At 33.9% G+C, this 23,099-nt stretch overlaps 1 protein-coding gene across 7 annotated transcripts in view; it reads left to right on the forward strand.

Moving 5' to 3' along the window:
• The window catches only part of GRIK2 (glutamate ionotropic receptor kainate type subunit 2), a 676,376-nt gene that overhangs the window by 552,692 nt on the left and 100,585 nt on the right, over positions 1-23,099 (forward strand). The window contains exon 15 of one of the 7 annotated variants that reach the window (XM_017010781.3): positions 18,990-20,518. The exons of the other annotated variants lie outside the window; for them this stretch is intronic. Within the exon in view, the coding sequence (XP_016866270.1) occupies positions 18,990-19,028 (39 nt within the window). The 3' untranslated portion in view covers positions 19,029-20,518. Of the gene's footprint in view, positions 1-18,989; positions 20,519-23,099 lie in introns of those variants that run through there. 7 annotated transcript variants of the gene reach the window in all.

Below are 23,099 nucleotides of genomic sequence, written 5' to 3' on the forward strand. Positions count from 1 at the left end.
ACATGACTGTAGTTCCAACTACACAGGAGGCTGAGGTGGGAGGATCATTTAAGCCTGGGAGGTTAAGGTTGCAGTGAGTCGTATTCACCTCATTGCACTTAGTCTTGGATTGCTGTTGAAAAAAAAAATAAGAAAAGAAACATTTTGATTTTTAATTAGCTATTATGAATAATGCTTATTTGTAAATACGTAACAAACTATCTAATCATTGAATTAAAGGAATATGACAGTGTCTTCATCGAAGCCATGACTGCACCAGAACAAGTTAACACAGGCAAGGCGATTATTGTAGTAAAGAGGAGATGCCAGGATTCAGTCTGAACTCAATTCTACTGCTCAAAGGACTGGAGGGTGTTTAAAAGTTGGAGAGGGGGATGGAGGCAGAGTGGTATTGTAAACCATTTATTTTTGCTAGTTGGTCCTACCCAATGGAAAACAAACTTTTTGATATCTTCATGACAGGAGATAGTTCTACAACTTGGAGCAAGGTACCCACTGAAGTTAAATTTCTACCCTCCCACAGAGAATGTTACACAGGGACACTAGCTTCCTAGATGATTACAGTTCAAAAAGGGCTCCTAGGACCTTGAGCAAAACGTTGCTACCTTGTAATATTAGCAAGAAACTTTTAAAAAGATTTACATTCCAAAAGAGTCAAAGAAATAATTTACGATTATAATTTTTCAAAGGTGTGCTCTGAGAAAAGAGAGGTCAGGGGCTTAGAGTCCAGAAGAAGCATGCCTAAAGTTTAATCAAGCTGAAATGAATGAAATTGTCTTGATCACTTGATACAACACCCTTTAGAGACATTGAAGTAATTTTTAATACTAACAATATGTAACTGGGTGATTCTTCTTCCTATTCTCATTTTTAGTGTGAATTATAGAGTATTGAGAATTTTTAATGAGGGAAATATTATCATTATTTTATTTTGAATTGTTTTGATCATAACAGGAATTAAACATTTTAAAATGTTTATAACAAAGAAACTTTAATCTTACAGACTTAAATGTTGGAATATCATTATTTTAATTTGGTTTAAAAAATTGTATGCAGTCTGCATTCCACTAAGTTTCTTAACCTATAAAACAAGTATTTTTTAAGGAGCATTATAAGTACAGAGATTCATGCTAATGGCATTCAGCTCATTAATAATTATGTTGTAGTAAAGCTGAGAAAATGTGATATAAGAGAAACACTTGCTTATTTAAATATGTCAGTTTTATTTCCTTCTGTTTGCTTTGTTAAAACATGCATATAATTTTGGATAAAAATGTGTTGGATACTGAAAGCCTGCCTCTTATTATAACAAAGGCATTAATTAGACATGAGAGGTCCGCACCATGATCCCAAATGTTATATTTCAATACACATGTTCAGAAAGTAATCTTTCAGACATTAGTAGGTGTGTTAAATGACTATAATCCTGAGCACCTACATCGACACTTTATCCTTTGATATTTGTCAGACATGCTTAACCCCAACTAGGAGAATGTTGTTTTTATTAATAATTATTTCAGGTAATACCTGATTAGGTCTAATGAGTGCTTGGCAGTCTTCATATTGGAATGAAGTCTGTGTGAACGTTTACCAAAATGTAGAAACCTTGGAATATTTGACAAATGTTTATTTTTAAAAAATGGCCTCTAATCTCAGTTTGAATTTACACTTATTTTATTTTTCAGTTTATTTGTTTGGAAAATATTCCTATTACCTTTAAATTGACTTTTTAGAGAAGTTTTACAAATACATTATTTTTAAATACAAGAACAAACAGGAAAACGGAGTTAAGTTTTATATGGCAGTGGTGATAGAATGGTTGGGTAGGAGCATGAATACTGAGTAATTATATTTATTATGTCCTTATTCCTGTGTCTTCAAAACAGAAAATGATTTGAAGAATCTTAGAACTGTCTTTTTTTTTTTAAAGTCTCTTCCGTTTACCCAGTAAGTGACATAAGCCACAAGTTACTATTTTTTACATCTAAATCAGAGCCAGTGTTAACCATCAGTGCCATTTTAACGTGTGATCAGTTCCTTAACTAATATATATATATATACACACATATATAGTTATAGTTATATATAGTTATACATAATATAGTTATATATAAATATATTTATAGTTATATATAATATAGTTTTATATAGTTATATATATACACATACACACATATATATGATACAATATATATGCAAGCAGATTTTTCAGACCCAGAATAAAATGTTAAAAGGTTTTTTTATTGTTTTAATTAAATAGAGACAGGGTCCCACTACGTTGCCCAGACTAGTCCTGAACTCTTAGGCTAAAGTGATCCTGCTGCCTCAGCCTCCCAAAGCGTTGGGATTACAGGGATGAGCCACTGTGCCTGGCCTAAAAAGGGTTTTAAAGCAAAACAAGAAAACAATCAAATTTCATTTATTTATTAAAGAAAGTAAATAAACAGATATCAAATTGCCAATATGAGGCAAACTCAGGGCAAATTTAATTTGCACCTGGGCACATTTACAGAATTTTGACATGGCAGTTACTTGACTATTCATCAAATGTGTAATTTCCTCCAGTCGTAGCACACCCACTGTTTAAATTTGTGTTCTGAAAATATAAACCCACCACTTAAAATAATTGCTTATTTTATTAATTCAAATATACACACCCATTGATTCATAAATTATCAACAGTTTAACTTTATGATAAAAATAATGTATATGTTCTATCTTGTCTCATCATTTCTTCTGGCTATCCATGATGGAAAGGGAGAATAAGAGAGCTTTTGTTGTTGTTGTTGTGTTTTTGCGATTTTTTTTTTTTGTGGGTACCAACACTTTTCTTTTGCCTCCATAGGATTTTTAAATGCAGCCTTATAACCATGTTAAATGCCTAGATTTGATTATAATAGAAATTTATCAAATTCTTTTAATTTACACACTCAGGTTTCTTGTCAGGTCTAGGAACTCCTCTTTGATTATCTTTTTTTTGTTATCCTTTTAAGTTCTGGAATACATGTGCAGAATGTGCATGTTTGTTACATAGATATACACAGTGGTGTGCTGCACCCATCCAACCGTCATCTACATTAAGTATTTCTCCTAATGCTATCCTTCCCCTAGTCCCCCATCCCCAACCGGCCCCAGTGTGTGATGTTCCCTGCCCTGTGTCCATGCGTTCTCATTGTTCAACTCCCACTTATAAGTGAGAATGTGTGGTGTTTGGTTTTCTGTTCCTGTGTTTGCTGAGAATGATGCTTTCTATCTTCATCCATGTCCCTGCAAAGGACATAAACTCATCCTTTTTTATGGCTGCATAGTATTTCATGGTGTATATGTGCCACATTTTCTTTATCCAGTCTATCATTGATGGGCATTTGGGTTGGTTCCAAGTCTTTGCTATTGTGAATAGTGCTGCAATAAACATGAGTGTACATGTGTCTTTATAAGTGTAGAATTATTTATAATCCTTTGGGTATATACCTAGTAATGGGATTGCTGGGCCAAATGGTATTTCTGGTTCTAGATGCTTGAGGAATCACCACACTGTCTTCATCTTTTTGAAAATATTATATGTCTCAATCATGCTGATTTCATGTTCAGGAACAGAACAGAAATGAGAAAATGAGAAATGAGTGAGATCTGACATTGGTTTTATGACCTCTATTTATTAAATAACTTTCTCATTTTTTATTTCTCATTTTAATCTCCTGATTTTAAGAAAATCAGCCTGTTTTGTAAGTTTTTTCTACCTGTTTCAAAAAGTCTTATAGGCTTGTATCACATTGGGACTACAAAATGTGTTTCCATTTTGTTGTTGTTGCTGGTAATAAATCATTTTCTAAAATCTCTTCTCCCTCTAAGTTATCAAGATAATACTCCTTTTCTTGTTTTTTGGACCAATTTTTATAGCTTTATGTTTATCTCAATCTTTGGTGAGAGGAATTTGATTGGGATTTGTGGTTGACCAGAGGTCACTTGAATAAACCTCTCTCTCTACTAAAACTTGAAAGCAGGCCTACATGCAAACTTTGTAGTCCAGTTATCAATCTCAGGATCCAAAATTGTTGTTTTGTGTTTTAACATGGCTCTTTGGGCCTGAGATAGAATGGACTCTTACCCTCAGGACCTTAAATCTGATACTCTGAATGATGAAGCAGCCCCCTTTTTAGGGCTTCTCTTATCTTCCCCACATTTTCATGACAAATGAAGACTATTCCCACCTGCCTCTGGAATAGGACAGTCTTCCCTGCCCACTACTTGCTTAGTTATTTCCTATCAGTTGTAGCCTCTATTTTTTTGTTTTTCATTTTTTTCTTTATGTTTTTTTATTTTGTCTTTATTTTTTGTAGCCTCTAAATTAGCACAGAATACAAGTACTAACAGTAGTGGGAGCCAGGAAACACATTCCACTGGATTCAAAATTAATATCTACAAAGGTGAAGGATAACTGCTAAGTGTACTGGATCAGGGAGAACTTATAGGTGGCATAGTGTAGACAAAGAAACAATGGTATGCCTAACACCTTTCAACATGGTAGTAGCATTTGACTTCAAGCAAGGGCGGGCCATAGATTTTATTTTTAATAAAGTTTAAGCGTCATTGTAGTTAAGGACATTTATTTCAGACTTCAGCAAGAAGTTGTGTGTCAGTTCCAATGTTCTGTTGTGAATCGTCATTTGTTGTGTCTTACCATATTAATATATTTTACTGTGATGTTAGTAGAGAAATCATTGAGTGCAGTCATCCAAACACCTTTTAAAACTGGAAATACATAATCTTTAATGCTTTAAAATGTATTTGCATATATGTGAAAGTATCATCTAAACTGCAATCATTATAACCCATGAAGTGTGAAGAAATCCTGTATTTTCTATTTTCTTTAACATGATGGATAAAAGGTATTTAAGAGAGTTGAGAAACTAACCTTTAGTCCTGTGTCAAATCTGATAGAATTCATCTTTCAACTATCTGTTACCACTTTCTAGACACTGCCAATAGTAAAATCAATTGTTGAAGTAAATGGAATGGCTTTTGGTATAATGCACAAATGGGTTTAAATTGAGGATTCAGTATATGCGTGTTTTGTTTAAATATTTTTGCTTTAGGTGTAGGTTCATATGCAGCTGTAAGAAATAATACAGAGACATTCCATGTAGACTGATATGGTTTAGCTGTGTTCCCATCCAAATCTCATCTTGAATTGTAGCTCTCATAATCCCCACGTGTCATGGGAGGGAACCAGTGGCCCAGTGGCAAGTAATTGAATCATGTGGGCAGATTTTTCCCATGCTGTTCTGGTGATAGTGAATAAGTCTCATGAGATCTGATGATTTTATAAAGAGTAGTTCCCCTGCACATACTTTCTTGCCTGCTGCCATGTTAGACATGTTTTGCTCTTCTTTTGTCTTCCACCATGATTGTGAAGCCTCCCCAGCCAAGTGGAACTATGAGTCCATTAAACCTCTTTTTCTTTACACCCAGTCTGGGGTATTTCTTCATAGCAGCATGAGAAGTAACTAATACATAGCCTTTAAGAGTCCCACAATGTAATATCATGAAAAGCAATAGGACATTATCACAACGATGTTGGCATTGTTAGAGAAAAGACAGGTAACATTTCCGTCATCACAAACACATCATGTTTTCCTTCAACAGTCATAACCTTTTTTCTCCCACATCCCCTTCGTTAGCTCTTGACAGTGCCTAATCTGTTCTCCATTTCAGCAATTTTGTCACTTCAAGAATGTTACATAAATGGAATCATCCTCTATGACGGAACCATCCAGTATGTAACCTTTTGGTATTAGCTTTTTCCACTTAGCTTAATTCTCTGGAGGTTCATCCAGGTTGTTATGAGAATCAATAGTCTGTTCCTTTTTACTGCTGAGTAACCTTCAATGGTATGGTTTTACCACAGTTTATTTAAGCATTTACTGGTTGAAGTACAACTGGGTTGTTTTGGGGTTTTGGCTATTTTGAGCAAAGCTGCTATGAATATCCATGTACAGGTTTTGTGTGAACATTAGCTTTTCTTTCCATGTGACCAAAGCCCAAGTGTGCAATTGCAGAGTTGAATTATAGTTCCAAGTTTTGTTCAGTTTTTTTTTTAAATAAAAGCTCTATTAAGATGTAATTTATATACCATGTAATTCACCTGTTTAAAGTAAAAAGTTCAAGAATTTTTAGTATATTCAGAACTGCATAATCACCACAATATTTTTTTTTTTTTTGAGGCGGAGTCTCGCTCCATCTCTCAGGCTGGAGTGCAGTGGCACGATCTTGGCTCACTGCAAGCTCCGCCTCCTGGGTTCACGCCATTCTCCTGCCTCAGCATCCTGAGTAGCTGGGACCACAGGTGCCCGCCACCACACCCAGCTAATTTTTTGTATTTTTAGTAGAGACGGGGTTTCACCGTGTTAGCCAGGATGGTCTGGATCTCCTGACTTCTTGATCTGCCCATCTCGGCCTCCCAAAGTGTCACCACAATAATTTTTAAAACTTTTTCAACATTTTGAAAATAAACCATGTACTCATTAACAATCATTCCCCATTTACTTAAAATGTCCACTCTCCACCATACCTAATAAACCACTAATCTGCTTCTGACTATAAAACTTCTTAGTCTGAATATTTAATGTAAACAGTGATATAGAATAAATGCTCTTTGGCTTTAACTGAACTTTCATCTGTGTTTCAGTGTGTATCAAAATTTTATTCTTCTTTTTGCAGAATAATATTGTACTACATTGATATAACAAATTTTATTTATCTGTTTATCAGAGGATGGACATTTGAATTGCTTCCACTTTTTGGATATTATAAATAATACTGCTATAAATATTAATGTATGAGTTTTGGGGTAGATGTATATTTTAATTTTTCTTGGGTCTATAAGCAGAATTCATGGGTCAAGTGGTAAATATATGTTTAACCATTTGAGGAAAATCAAACTACTTTCTAAATGGCTGCACAATTTTACATTGCCTTTAGCAGTGTACAAGGGCTCCAGTTTCTTCACATCCTCACCAACACTTACTATTTTCTGTTTTTATGATTATAGCCATCCTAGTGTGAGAAAGTGCTATCTCCTCATGGCTTTGATTTGTACTTCCCTGATAGCTAATGTGGTTGAGCATCTTTTATGTGCTTATTCACCATTTGTATATCTTTGGAGAAATGTTTATTCAGATCCTTTGCTCATTTTTAAATTAGGTTGTCTTTTTATCATTGAATTGTAAGAGTATTTTTACATTTTATAGATAGAAATCCCTCATCAGAAATATGATTTGCAAAAGTTATTTTTCCATTCTTGGGTTATCATTTTACTTTGTTCATCGTGTCCTTTGATATACAAAAGCTTTTACTATTAATGACATTTATTATAATTATTTATTGTTTGGATCCTTGCTTTTGATGTTATATCAAAGGAGACTTTTCCCAACCCAAGGTCCTAAAGAGTTACTACTATATTTTTTTCTAAGAGTTTTATAGTTTTAACTTTTATATTTAGTTCTACAATTCACTTTGATTTAATTTTTGTGTATGATGTGAAGGACAAACACAATTCCATCCCTTTGTATGTAGATATCAAAGTGTCCCAACACAGTGTGTTGAAGACTATTCTTTCCCTCTTTGAATTGTTTTGGTACTCTAGTAAAACAAGAAATGACCATAATGTAAGGGTTTATTTCTGAACCTTTAATTCTTTTCAATTAATCTGTATGTCTATCCATATCTACATACCACATGGTCTTGCTTACTGTAGTTTGGAAATTAGGAAGATCATCAGTTTCCTTTTTTATTTCAAGATTGTTTTGACTATGTCAGGTTCCCTGCATCTATAAGAATTTTGGGATAACTGACAAATTTCTGCAAAAAGCCACATGAGGTATTAATTTTATGTTTATTTGGGAAGTATTGTTATCTTAACAATATTAAGTCTTTTGATCCATGCACTTGAGATGTTTTTCAAATTATTTAGGTCTTCTTTAATTTCTTTCAATGTGTTTTCACTTTTATTATTAGATCTTGCACTTCTTTAAAGAATAGATCCCTCTGTATTGTATTCTCTTCAATACTATTATAAATATAACAATTTTTATAATTTCATTTTCTGATAGTTCAATTTTATATATAGAAATATAAGTGATTTTTGTATAGTGATTTTACATACTGCAGTGGGTTAGAACTCTTCTATTAATTCTCAAAGTGTTAGTAGATATATCTGGATTTCCTATATACAAGATCCTGTCAACTACAAAGAGAGATAGTTTAAGGTTTTCTTTCCAATCTGGATGCCTTTGTGTTTTTTTTCTTGCCTTTATGGCCTGGCAATATGAGAATTACAGTATAATGTTGAATGTAAATGAGAAAGGTGTACACTGTTATCTTGCTCCTAATATCGGGGGAAAACATTTTTCCTTACACCATTATTACATTAGGTGTGGATTTTTCACAGATGCCTTAAACAATGTTGAAGGCATTCCCTTCCTTCATTGATTGAGTGCTTTTCAATCACTCCAGAGGTACTGAATTTGTCAATGCTTTTCCTGAGTTTACTGAGATGGTCCTCTGATTTTTCCTTTATTTTACTGATAAAATATATTATATTTATTTGTTTGTGCACTTTAAAACAACCTCACATTATTTAATTAAATCCCACTTGGTCTTGGTGTATAATTATTTTTCTGTGATGCTGGAGTCAGTGTGCTGGTATTTTGTTGATACATTTTGCATCTATATTCATAAGATATATTGATATGTAGTTTGTTTTTCTTGTGATTTTTTTGGGGGGTTTTGATATCAGGTTGACACTGGCCTCATGGAGTGAGTTGGAAAGTGTCCCTGCCTCTTTTGCTTTTTGGAATAATTTATGAAGAAATGGTATTAATTTTGCTTTAAATGTTTGACGGATTTCACCAGTAAAGCCGTTTGGTCCTAAGCTTTTATCTCCAGGAAGTGTTAACAATTATATATCCAGCCTGGGCACAGTGGCTCATGTCTGTAATCCTAACACTTTGGGAGGCCAAAGCAGGAAGTTTGCTTGAATCCAGGAGTTCAAAGCTACCATAGGCAACAAAGTGAGGTGAGTTCCCATATCTAAAAGAGAAACAAAAAAAAGCAGACAGGCATGGTGGAATGCTCCCACACACCCAGAGTCCCAGCCTGAGCAACAGAGCAAGGCCTTCTCTCTCTCTCTCTCTCTCTCTCTCTCTCTCTCTCTCTCCCCCCCATTTCTTTTACAGTCAGATTTGGTAGTTTGTGTTTTTTAAGGAATTTATCCATTTCATCTATATTGTCTAATTTGTGGCCACACAGCTATACATATTATTCCCTTTTAATCCTTTTTTTTTCTGTTAGATTGTAGGCAATCATCTCACTTTCATTTCTGATATTGATAATTTTGTTATTCTTGCTAAAAGTTTGTAAGTATTGTTGATCTTTTCAAAGACTTGGCTTTGTGTTTCTTTGATTCTCTCTCTTTTTCAAGTTGTTGCTTCATTAGTTTTCATTCTAGTTTTTATTATTTTCTTCCTTCTGCTTTATTCGAGTGTACTTTGCTCTTCTTTTTCCACTGCTTTATGTTGAAGGTTAGGTCATTGATATGAGGTCATTTTTCTTTTTAAATATAATCATTTACATTTATAAATTTCTCTCTAAGCACTGCTTTAACTTCATCCTACAAGTTTTATTATGTCACGTATTTTTATTCAGCTAATAATATGTCCTTATGTCAGTGTGATGTGTTCTTTTATCTTTAAATTACTAACGCATTTTAAATTTCCATAAATCTATTTCTTTCTGTTATTAATTCTTTGTTTTTACCCTTTGGCCTAAGCAAAAAACTTATGACTAAGTCCTCATTTCTATCAGAATTTTGGGATAACTGACCAATTTCTGCAAAAAGCCACATGAGATATTAATTTTATATCTATTTGGAGAATATTGTTACCTTAACAATATTATGTCTTTTGATCCACGAACTTGAGATTTTTAAATTTATTTTTAAAGATTTCAGGGGTACAAGTGCAGTTTTGTTTCATGGATATATTGCGTAGTGGTGAAGTCTTGGTTTTAATGTGCTCATCGCCCCAATAGTGAACATTGTACACAATAGGTAATTTTCAATCCTCACTCCCTTCCCAACCTCCTACCTTTTCATAGCTCCGGTGTCTATTATTACCCTGTCTATGTCCATGTGTACCCATTGTTAATTCCTACTTTTAAATGAGAATATGAGGTATTTGACTTTCTGTTTCTGAATTATTTCACTTAAGATACTGATCTCCTGCTTTATCTATGTTGTTGCAAAAGACATGATTTCATTCTTTTTTATGGCTAAGTAGTATTACATGGGGTGTATGTGTGTGTATATATGTGTGTATATATATATAAAATTTTCTTATATATATCAATAAAAATTATACATATCTATAAGAATTTTATATATAAGAATTATAGATATATACATATATATATATAATTTTCTTTATCGAATCATCAGTTGATGGACACTTAGGTTTATTCCACAACTTTACTATGGTGAATAGTGCTGTGACAAACATGTAAGTTCAGGTGTCTTTTTGATATAGTGAATTCTTTTCCTTTGGGTATATACCCAGTAGTGTGACTGTTGGATTAAATAACTGTTCTATTTTTAGTTCTTTGAGTAACCTCTATACTGTTTTCCACAGAAGTTATGCTAATTTGCATTCCCACCAACAGTGTATAAGCATTCACTTTTTTCTAAATGTGCTACAACATGTGTTAATATTTGAGGTTTTAATAATAGCCATTCTGTCTGGTGTACGATGGTATTTCACTGTGGTTTTAATTTGCATTTCTCTGATAATTTGTGCCGTTGAACATTTTTGTCATGTTTTTTTGGCTGCTTGTATGTCTTATTCTGAAAAATCTCTTCAAATCTTTCACCCACTTTTTAATGGGCTTGTTTTTGTCTTATAGAGTTGTTTGAGTTCTTTGTAAATTCTGGATATTAGCCCTATGTCACACACATAGTTTTCAAACATTTTCTTCCATTCTGTAGGTTATTAGTCTTTTGATTGTGATTTTCTTATTTATTTATTTTTATTATTTATTTATTTATTTATTTTTTACTGTGCAGACACTTTCTAGTTTAAGTCCCTTTTGTCTGTTTTTGTTTTAGTTGTGTTTGCTTTTGAGGACTTAGTTATAATTTTTTGTTGTTTGTTTTGGCCAATGTCCAGAAGACATTTTCAAAGGTTCCCTTCAGGAATTTTTATAGTTTCAGATCTTACATTCAGGAATTTAATTCATCTTGAGTTAATTTGTATATGGTGAGAGATATGGATCTAGTTTCATTCCTCTATGTATGGCAATCCAGTTTTCCCAGCACCATTTATTGAATAGGATGTCTTTTCTCCAGTGTATACTTTTGTCAATTTTGTTGAAGATCAGTTGGTTGTAGGTATGTGGCTTTATTGATGTATTCTATATTACATTCCAGTGATCTATGTGTCTCTATTTATACCAGCACCATGCTGTTTTAGTTACTGTAACCTTGTAGTATATTTTAGACAGGTAATGTGATACATCAAGCTTTGATTTTTGCTTAGGATTGTTTTGGCTATTCAGGCTATATTTTGGTTTCATATTAATACTATGATTGTTTTTTCTAATTCTGTGAAAAATTATATAAATTGCATTGAATCTGTAGATTGTTTTAGGAAGTATGGTCATTTTAACAATATTGACTCTTCCAAACTATGAGCATAGAATGTTTTTCCATTCATTTGTGTCATCTACAGTTTTTTTCATCAATGTTTTGTATTTTTTCTTTTAGAGAGCTTTACCTACTTGTTTAAATGTATTGCTACATATTTGTGTGTGTGTGTGTGTGTGTGTGTGTGTGGGTCCATTGCAAGTGAGACTGCATTCTTAGTTTGGTTCTCAGTTTGTATGTTATTGATTATAGAAATGCTACTGACCTTTATACATTGATTTTGTATCCTGTAACTTTTCTGAAGTTGTTTAACAAATCTAGAAGTCTTTTGGATAGTCTTTAGGATTTTCCAGTTGTAAGATTTTATCATCAGTTAACATATATCATTTGACGTCCTCTTTTCCAATTTGGATGCCTTTTATTTCTTCCTCTTGCTTGATTCCTGTAGCTAGAAATTCCAGGACTATGTTGAATATGAGAGGTAAAAATGTGCATCCTTGTCTTGTTCCAGTTTTTAAAGAGAATGTTTTCAACTTTTTCCTGTTTAGTATGATGTTGCCTATGGGTTTGTTATATATGGCCTTTATTATTTTAGGTAAGTTTATATGATACCTGGTGTGCTGAGTGTTTTTATCATTAATGGGTGCTGAATTTTATAAAATTATTTTTTCTGAATCTATTGAGATGAGCATATGGTTTTTGTTTTAAATTCTGTTTATGTGGTGAATCACATTTATTAATTTGCATGTGTTGAACCATTCTTGAATCCCTGAAATAAAACCCACTTGATTATGGTGTATTACATTTCTGATGTACTGTTGCATTTGGCTTGCTAGTATTTTTTAGAGGATTATTGTGTTTACATTCATCAGGGATATTGGCCTATAGTTTTCTATTTTTGTGGTATTCTTGCCTGGCTTTGGTATCAGGGTGATACTGGCTTCATAGAATGAGTTAGGGAGGATTCTCTTCTCATCAATTTTATGCAACAGTTATAGTAAAATTGATACCATAAAATTGATTGATACCATCAATAAAATTGATCAATTTTATAGTAAAATTTATACTGGTATCAATGGCTTCATGTGGCAATCATATGGCTTCACATGTCTGGTAACATTTGGCTGTACATCCCTCTGGTCCTGGGCTCATATCTGTTGGACAATTTTTTCATTACTGATTCAATGTCATTACTCATTATTGTCTGTTAAAGATTTCTATTTCTTCTTGTTACAGTCTTAGGAGAAATTTTCTCTAGTTTTTCTAGTTTGTATGCCTAGTGATACTCATAGCAGTCTTTGATGATCTTTTGTATTTCTGTGGTATCACTTGTAGTCACACCTTTATCTTTTCTGATTGTGCTTAAGACTTCTCTCCATTTTTCATGGTTGATCTAGCTAACAATCTATCAATATTGTTTATGATTTCAAAAAGCCAATTTTTATTTTGTTGATCCTTTGTATTTTTTTGTTGTTCTCAATTTCATTTAGTTCTTTTCTGATCTTTGTTATTTCTTTTCTTCTCTGAGCTTTGGGTTTGGTCTGCTCTTGAATTTCTATTCCCTTGAGGGACTTGTTAGGGTTGTTAATTTGGAATATTTCTATCTTTCTAATGTAGGTTTTTAACACCGATGAAAATTTTGTTGAGAGTCCCTTTAGAAGTGATTAGACACTTCTCTCTTGCTGCTTTTAGGATTTTTTTCCTTCATATTGGCTTTGGATAACCTAATAACTATATGTGATAATGAGTTTCATCTTGTAAAGTATGTTCCAAGTATTCACTGAGCTTGTTGTATTTGGATACCTAATTCCCTGGCCAGACCAGGGACATTTTCCTGGATTGTTCCCACAAATAAGTTTCCCCAGCTTTTTCTTCTTCTCCCTCAGGAATGCCTATAATTCATAGGTTTGGTTACTTTACGTAATCTTTTATTTCTCAAAGCCTTTTTTTAGTGTTTTGTTTTTTTTTTTTTGTCTGACTTGGTTAATTCAGAAGGCTTGTCTTTAAGCTCTGATTATTTTTCTTCTACTTGCTCTAATGGTAAGGCTTCCAAATGTATCTTGTAATTATTTCAATAATTTTTTTTATTTTCAGAAGTTCTGTTTTTTTAAAAATTATCTGTAATAATTTTTAATTAACATCCTGATTTTTCTTCTGATTTCTTTGGTTTTTAGCTTTCTCTTGGATCTCATTAAGCTTCCTCACAATCTATATTTTGAATTCTTTATCTGTCATTTCAGAATTTTCATTTAGTTTTGGATCCATTGCTAGACAGTTAGTGTGTTCCTTTGGAGGGGTTAAAGCACTCTGTTTTTCCATGGTGCCATAGTTTTTATGTTAGTTCCTTCTCATCCTGGAGAAATTGTCATTTATTTTTTAATTTACTTTCTTTTAGATGGTACTTTTTTAAATTTTTTCTCTTGAGGGCGTAACTGTAATGTATGTTGTGTAGGGCTGTTTGGCTTCAATTCTGGGTGCTTTCAGGGGCCAAGCCTCTGTATGAGTTCCTTGGTTGTAGATAACCTTGGTTATAAATACAGTTCCTTTATGTGGTGGCTTTTTCAAATGCTGATTATAGTAGCAATGTACTCGGCCTATGAGCAGGACTAACACCTTCTGTGGGACTGAGGTTATGGAAGTCTCAGGAAACTTACCTTATTCCGCAGCACAATGCTCTTCTGACAGAAGATTTTTAATTTGATTGTGCAGTCCAATCTCCAGTTCATTAGGTGGTAGTTACGGGTAACAGCTGTCTGTGGTATATACTTGATCTTTGTTTACTGAGAAGGGCTCTGTTGTCACATGTAGTGGGCTGGTCTGTCAAATGACTGGTGTCCTGACTTCCCTGCTGAAGGGTACAGGTGGGACAAAGCTGGGCAGAGCTGGACCACCAAACTCACCCTCAGATACCCCAATGATAAGTTAATGTATCCACCTTGACTGGAGTGACAGGGAGAGGTTATAGTGAAAGCCTCCCATGTTTCTCCCAGTTCCACATCATGGGCAGGCAGGAAAGTGGTCAACCTCCACATCACACCCTTCTTCCAGGGCTCAGGACTTTCATTTCAGATAGACATTGTAGTTCATCTTCAGGACTCAATGTAACTGAGGGTTCCAGCAAATCCCTACCCCATAGCTACCAACAAAATGACCTCGGGAGAAACCTCTTTCCTCAACCCCAAACAGACAGCTTTGTGGCTCACTCACCTGTACTCTGCAGCGGGAATGCTGCTGTTCTGTGTAGAGTGAGGGATGGACTCCACCATTCTTGCAAGCTGGGCTAATGGACATACCAGGAGTGGGAGTGCAACTCCTCCTAATAGTCCTATAATGGTTCTCCCTAGGCATACCCATGCCAACGCCCCCCACGAAAGAACAGCTAGCTGCAGCTGCATCCGCAGCTGTGGGTCGGCAGGCAGAAGTCCCCCTATCCATCTTTGTTCCCAGGCACCAGTGCCACCTGCTGCTGGGATGGAACCACACTCTCCCTGACATAGCCTAGCACCATGCCCACATTTCTCATGCAATGGGCGCAGTAATCTTCAGCTCACAAGTGGGGAGCTCTTGTGCAGAGGAGAGTGCACACTCCGGTTTTTGTTGTTCCAAGGGCACTTCGGCATGTGACACTCTCCCTTCCCCTAGGGAGAGCTCACCCTGAACGTTAGAATTCCGGGAATCCCACAGCTCCCCTTTATCCTGCTGGTCCTTTCTGGTTGCTGCTGTCCAAGTAGATTCTAAGGAATGTCTATAAGGGATCTACTGGTGTTGAGGCAAGAGCTGAGACTCTTTGGGTAGGATAGAGATCCACAATATGTGCCCAACTGGTATGGCACCTACTACCTCAGCTTGGGTCTTGAGAGTGGAGGGATGGTAAAACTGCATGAGCTAGCAGCCTAGTGCTTTGCCCTCAAGAAATTTGTAAACACAACCCACAGCAGTACTTGGGTTCATGAGGGCAGAGGGGCTCTCTGACATTCCAGAAATCAGCAGTATGACACAGGGGTGAGGGGAGCATAAAGTACCCCCATCTACCTTATCCATGGGACTCCAAGATCTTCAGGGGTCAATCTCTGCCAGACTCTTGCTTCCTTCTTTTTGTGTGCCCCAGCTTTTTCCCATGGGTTCTTTAATAGACTGTGGCACTCTTCCCTCGGTATTCCACTCAGGATGTGATTACTAACTGGCAACTCTGGTTCTTCTTTATGAAAACTGGCATTCAATGCCTCTAGTCAGCCATCTTGAAAAAAAAAACCTCAACTCTGTTATTAATTTGTAATGTTATTCCATTGTAGCAAGGCACATGCTCTGTGTGCTTTGAATTATTTCAAATGTATTGAGGCTTGTTTCATGGCCTGGAATGTAGACTACCTTGGAGTACCATGTGTACTTGAGAAGGGTGTATATTTTGCTTTATTTTGGGTGGAGTGTTCCATAAAGACTTCTTAGTTCTATCTATCCTATTGTTGTTCAAGTCTTCTATTTCCTAATAGAACTTCTGCTTATTTGTCTTATCCATTATTGAAAGTGAGCTACTGAAGTCCTCAACTCTTTTTGCTAATTCTCCATTTCACATTTTAATTCTGTAATTTTTTGCTTCATATTTTGGGGTTATGTTGTTTGGTGCATATATATTTATAATTGTTCCTTTTTTGATAAATTAACATTATTAAACTAGAATAACAAAATTGATCTCAATATAACTATAAAATATATTTTTTATATCTAGTGATTGTTTTTGTTTTTCAAACCTACTATTCCTTATTTCTGTATAGCCTCTCTGTCTTGTGATGGCCATTTGCCTGACATATCTTTTGCTATCTTTATTTTTAACCTTCCTGTATCTTTGAATATAAACTGGGTTTTCTAGATAAAACAGGCAGTTGAATTTTTTTTTTATTTTTAATCCAGTGTGATAAACTGCCTTTTGATTTGATTGTACAACAGATTAGAATTTAATGTTATTATTGATATAGTTAAATTTACATCTGCCAATTAATTTTTATCTTTCTAATGTCTCTTTTGTCCTCTCTCCTTTACCAGTTTTGCATTAAGATAATATTTTCTTGTGTAACATTTTAATTTAATGATTTTTCTTTGTATTTTTTGTTATTTTCTTTGTGGTTGATTTAGGACTTATATATCTTAATTTATAAGAATCTATTTCATATTTATACTTATTTAGGATTTTTTTTTTTTTTTTTTTTTTTTTTTTTTTTTTTTTGAGATGGAGTCTAGCTCTGTCGCCCAGGCTGGAGTGCAGTGGCACCATCTCAGCTTACTGCAAGCTCTGCTTCCTGGGTTCATGCCATTCTCCTGCCTCAGTCTCCCGAGTAGCTGGGACTACAGGCGCCTGCCACAGCACCTGGCTGATTTTTCTTTTCCTTTCTTTTTTTTCTCTTTTTCTTTCTTTCTTTCTTTTTTTTTTTTTTTTGTATTTTTAGTAGAGATGGGGTTTCACTGTGTTAGCTAGGATGATCTTGATCTCCTGACCTCGTGATCCACCCGCCTCGCCCTCCCAAAGTGCTGGGATTACAGGCGTGAGCCACCGCGCCCGGCCACTTATTTAGTTTAATATAGAAACAATCCTAGAAAGCTCTATTTCCTCTTATCCATTTTATGCTCTAATTTTTGTACATATTATATGTATATATGCTCCAAACCCAACCATACATCATTATATATGCTGCAAACCCAACAATACATCATGGAGCTAGCAGTCTCCACTTAATTGCTTACCAATAAAATTTCCATTATTTCAGAGAGTACCCTTCAACTTGAACTTGCCTACATTCTTTTCTAAATAAAGTTAACTCTTTTGGGCAGAACTTCAGAATTCTCAGTTCTTATTACCTGGCTCTCTTCTTGGGCAAAATATGCACCACTGCTCTGGAGCTAATGGGAAGGAGGGTATGGGTTAAGGTTCAAATTACATAGATGCTTGCTATTGTTACTGAGATTTGTGTTTCTTGAAAAAAAATACATATAATTTGCTGTATATCTTAGAACAATTTCTGGAGACTTTAAATGTAGATATATAATATATACATAATTATATTTCATTAATGTATAATATATACATACTATATCATTACACATATAACATCATATATAAGATTATAGATACATGATATATAATAAAACAATGCTAACACATATATGTATAATTAGGTACATGATTTTGTGTATGATATAACATATATGTATATTATTATATTATTGTTATCAATTGTGAATGTTTCACTGGAGAGGAGGTTTGTGAAGGTCCTCTGATCCCAGTTAGAAGTGGATTTTCCTTGTGTTTTAAGAGCCTCTAGCTATTGGGGTTTCAGTACCAGACCTGTTAGCAACCCTGTCCTATTGGGAAATGAAGGAGAACTAGACATGGGTGTTTACAGTGTGACTTTTGTGGGATACTACTTCTACCTGCTAGGCAGCCTAATGTCTAGTTCTCAAACCCGTGACCAGGGGGTCTCGCACACAGGAAAGGTGTTTATATTGGAAGATGCCCTTGTGGCTCTTGTTTGATCCCTGTTCAGTTTATGCCTGCCTAACCATTGCTGCAGCACTGGGATCCTGACTTTTTGTTCTTCCTGGCATCCCAGGGAAATTCTGGCCTGGGGAAGCTGTAGTTCTTTGCATGGAAGGTGCAAATTTGATACACCACCACAGTAAGAAACAAGCTCAAAGACTTTTTACTTATGGATCCTAGGCAGGGAGAACACAATGAGTCAGGAGGACAGTTCTCTGTCTCCAGGTCATGCAAGGCAGAAATGTAGAGTCAGGCATAGAGAGAGAGAGAACATGTGGCAATTAGCAGGATACATAAGGGCATAGGGTGTAGATTATGTTAAGTTTGCGGGAAAATACCTGAATAGTTTTTTTAAAGGAAGTAGCCGGAAAATGGATAACCTGGTCTGCTAGGCAGGAGAGATGCATCTAAGCTCTTATCTGGAGCCTCTGGATTGAGGCATTTGGGTGTGGTGTAGAACTGGAAACTGAGTCAAGGGTGACCAAACCCTGCTTTTGCTATAAGAAACTTAAACCTGTATTCAAAATGAACACCAAGGCAACATAAAATTATAAGAATTTACTATACTTCATTATTCATTTTTTGATCTCAGGACATGTGCTTAACTGCTTTGCATCTTAGGTGTCCTCCTGTAAAACTGGATAAAGTACCAGGTGTATAGTGCTGTTTTGCATATTTGCTTAGAAAAAATTTGTAAACCTTATTTTTTCAATGTCTGCTCATAAAAGCTATCCAATACAATTTAGTTCCCTGTTTTTCTTTCAGATATCCAAATCTGTCACTCTCATCATGCCATTTCTATAACAAGTCAGAGAGTCTATCTTCAGCTTTATCTGTCATTGTTCTCCCTCATTTTGCAGTTTGTTCCTTGGGTTGAATAATACCTCTGTAAAATGTTTCACATTAGTCTTAATAAAAAAAGTAATGTTTATTTTTGTAATAATTTATGTAAGATATAGCTCAGTGAAAACATATTCTCCTTGCATGTTATCACACACAATTGTTTTTGAATGACACAATAATGTATTGACATTTTATACTTCTGATTTCACAGTATATTTGCCATTACTTGTTAGTAACAAAGCATCAGTCATAAATTTGAAGTCTGTGGAATTGGTTAATTTTACCTCATTTGAGTAAATCTCAAATGAGGTAAAGTATAGGAGGTAGGAGGAAGGAAGGAAGGAGAAAGGGAGTATAATAACTAATTGGAGAAAAATATATTTGATAAAATAATCCTTGTCTGTATAAAACAATTTTCAATAATAACTGATATGTTTCCCTAAAGGTAGTTTATAATCTATTATTCTTTTTATAATAATTATGATGTTATGTGGTTTGGATTTCTTTGTAATCCACATTAGATAGCATAGAAACTAGTATATAACCAATAAATATTTCGTGACTGCATGTACTTTGTGTATAACTTTATGTGCCAAATTCTTGATACAAATAATCTGTAAATTTTCTCCTCATCAGAAAATTGTATTCTTTGTCTACCGTCATTTTGCCATTATCAGAATGTATATTTTACATGGCATTCCCAAATTAAAGTTAATTATTCTCCCCTATGAAACAATGTACTTTGTATTTTAACAAATTGTTTAGCTAAGGAAGAAAACAATTTATTTAGGTAATGCAAATATGTCAACAGATAATTGCATTATAGCAGAAGTTTAATATAAAAGACACAAAAGTTTTAGGTGTGTCCTGAGAAGTGATTGATTTCTGTAGGGCAGAAGTAAAGGAGAAATTTAAAAAATATATTATGAATGTTGCGATGCCCAAGTAGATCTTGAGAGTAACAGAAGTAATAGAGTTTGACAAGGCTGGAGTTCCTGTAAGAAAATAAGCATATTACTAAATCCACTTTATTCTAATTAATTATTTGTTCAGATCTTAACTTTTATAACAGGATATGTTGAGGACCTGAATGTTCTAGTCATCTGTTTCCCCTGAGCACATAATGCAATCAATGGCCTGTGATAGGTGCTCAAGAAATTGTCAATGCATAAGTGATTCAATGGATAAAGGAAGAGGGACGAATATTTGACAGGCCCATCCCCTCCTCACTTGCTCTGAGCTGTGTCCTGAGATTATGATTGATAGGATATCTTATGAATAAATCCATCAAAACTGAGCAAACTGGGAAAATATTAACAATTTAATGGTTGATTTTTAGCTAAGTCTTATAATCCAAGGCAAATACAATTTCCTCTTTTATACTCTCCAGTACTTGTTATGTACTCATGTTTTGTAGACAATAAAAATAAACTTAATTTTATGCTTGGTAATCAATAATTTATAGTGTTTTATTGTGATATTATGTATTCATGATAAGTAACTCAATGTAATATTAAGCTAAGTTTTAAGTTACCTAAAGATCTTGAAAATTTTGTTCAAGCTGACAAACTATAAAACAAAATTATAGTTGAAATAAAAAGATTGAGAGAATTATGATTCAACTTCTTTAAAATATATTTTTATAATATTAAACATTTTTATAGGAATACATTTTTATTTTATTAGTAACCTAGTATACAAACTTTCAGGAATTCAGATTAAATAGACTTTTCATGAGGAACCAAACCTAAATCTTATAAAAATTAAATTGCCTACTTGTATATTACTTAACATTGATACTTTATATAAAGTCATATAACTGTTTTTCTTCTTTAAATCATTATTAAACCAGTTGCGATTTGATATTTTATAGAAAATGCCTTTGGGGAATTTTTTAGAGGTTATCACAATTCATGTATTAGAAATTATTTTAAAATATTCTATGTATTTGGGAATATTCAATTTACATAAGCACTTTTTAAAAATAAATTATAACAGTGATTCTTTAGCTTAAGAGATGCCACAATTTAATGTACTTTTATCCTCTGGATATAGAAGTGAAGACCTTTCTCAATTTCAAACACAGTTGCATAGTCACAAAGACGACTTGTACCTGCAGTCTCATCACTTCAGTCACGGGTCAAAAGTGAACACGAAAACCCAACCAAAAACTTTCTAGTCCGGATATCAGGTGTTTTCCTTCCCAGTGGGCAGGAAACACTTTCCCAGTTGATTTGAGATCTACGCAAACAGGTAAACAAACAACAAGCCAACAAACCAGAATCTCATTCATGTTTAACCCAATAACGAATAGAGTTTCATTATTCATCTCATAGAAATTACCAAGTGGTCAGAACAGAAAACCAAAATCTTAGTCATTGCTCTCACTAATGGGGGATAATTTATGCACCAACAAGATCTAGAAATAAAAATCAAAACAACAACAAACCAACAACCCCTCCCACCCCCCACCATATAAACAGTAGGAGAAATAGGAGGAAAAAAGAACTGGAGAGTCAGGAAAATTAAAGTTCTATTGACGCTTGAGATTCTCTCTGAGAACTAGAAAAGATGTGACTTCACTCAAAGATCCTTGAATGTGCCCTTCTCCAGTAATACAATTTATTTGGCTCTGTCAAGTGAAACAATAAAATATAATTTTCAAAAGTTAAAAAAAAACCATGCATCTTATGCAAATATAAACTGAACACATGATGAAGATTTTATTCAATTATTAATTATGGTTCAAAGGAGAATTTTAAGGACATAAACACATAGGTACACACAATCAGGAATGCTGAAATGCATTTGCTAATAGATGCAAAGCTTTTTAAAACCCTTTATATGTGATAAAATAAGATGTTTAGGAGTTATATTTCCTACAGAGTTAAAGCAATTTTTTTCTTTACTGAATAAAACAAATTTGCATTGCTATTAACAAGAATAATTTGCATTAGTGTCAGTTTTTTACATGACAACTTCTACTCCTACAAAATTGCTACTAGTCTGGTCAATAGAAGGTCAGTCAAAGGAGCATATCATTATGGAATCAGACAATCCCCGGAGAGTATGCAGGTAATATCCAGCACTCTACAATATGAAACAATCATTTTAATATTTCTAGATCCTCAGTCTCAAGATTTGTTTCTTCACATTGATTTGGCTGAGAACATAAAGATACATACTTTATGTTCGCCTTATCTTCTCACTTTCCTTTCACACTTGCACTTCTTGAACTTGGTAAACATAAATCACACTTTCATCCACCCATCAAAAATGTGTGTTCTCTGAGGGGAAAAAATCACTGTGGCATACACAAAAATATTAATTAGAAGTATTGATGTTTAAGAAGACTTCTAAAATGAGGATACTGTAAACCTACCCCTTATCTTCATAATAGATGCATTTCCAATATAAATTTATTCATTGTTCATAACACAATGAATACATTTGTCCAATTGTGGGCTAAAAATAGTTTTAATTGTAACTCAATAGAGAAGAATATTTTAAACATTAAAGACTCATGACAATAAATTTTAAGTAATATTTAATCTTAACACTATATAAACATTTTGAATTATAATAAAGTGACTGAATAAAATATTTGCAAGCATAAAATATATTTCCTTAGAATAACATGTTATAGAAGTAGGGAACAACAATATAAAAGAAAATGAACCACATATAATTTATAACTGTTGAAAAGAGGAGTTGGGTTGTGTATTTTTTAAATGCATGATTGTGGGTGGCAAACAGCTATTGTATTAATATTCTACACAGGATGCATTTGAAGAAGAATGTAACACTTTTCCTTAAAATATGAATAGTGAAAGTATGCTAGAAGTTATGTTTATGCATTTTTTAGTTCAATGATAAAATATTTGAATTTGTATAGCTTCAAAATATTTGTTCTATAGCCTGTTTAATTTATGTTATTTCTCAGTGGCTTACTTTTAATTTCAGGTTCATTTTTCCCCAAATTTTCACTTGTTATTTTTTAAGAGAAAGGCCTATGAAAATATGAACAATGAC

The sequence above is a fragment of the Homo sapiens genome, chromosome 6 (genome assembly GCF_000001405.40).
Source record: "Homo sapiens chromosome 6, GRCh38.p14 Primary Assembly".
Taxonomy (NCBI): domain Eukaryota; kingdom Metazoa; phylum Chordata; class Mammalia; order Primates; family Hominidae; genus Homo; species Homo sapiens.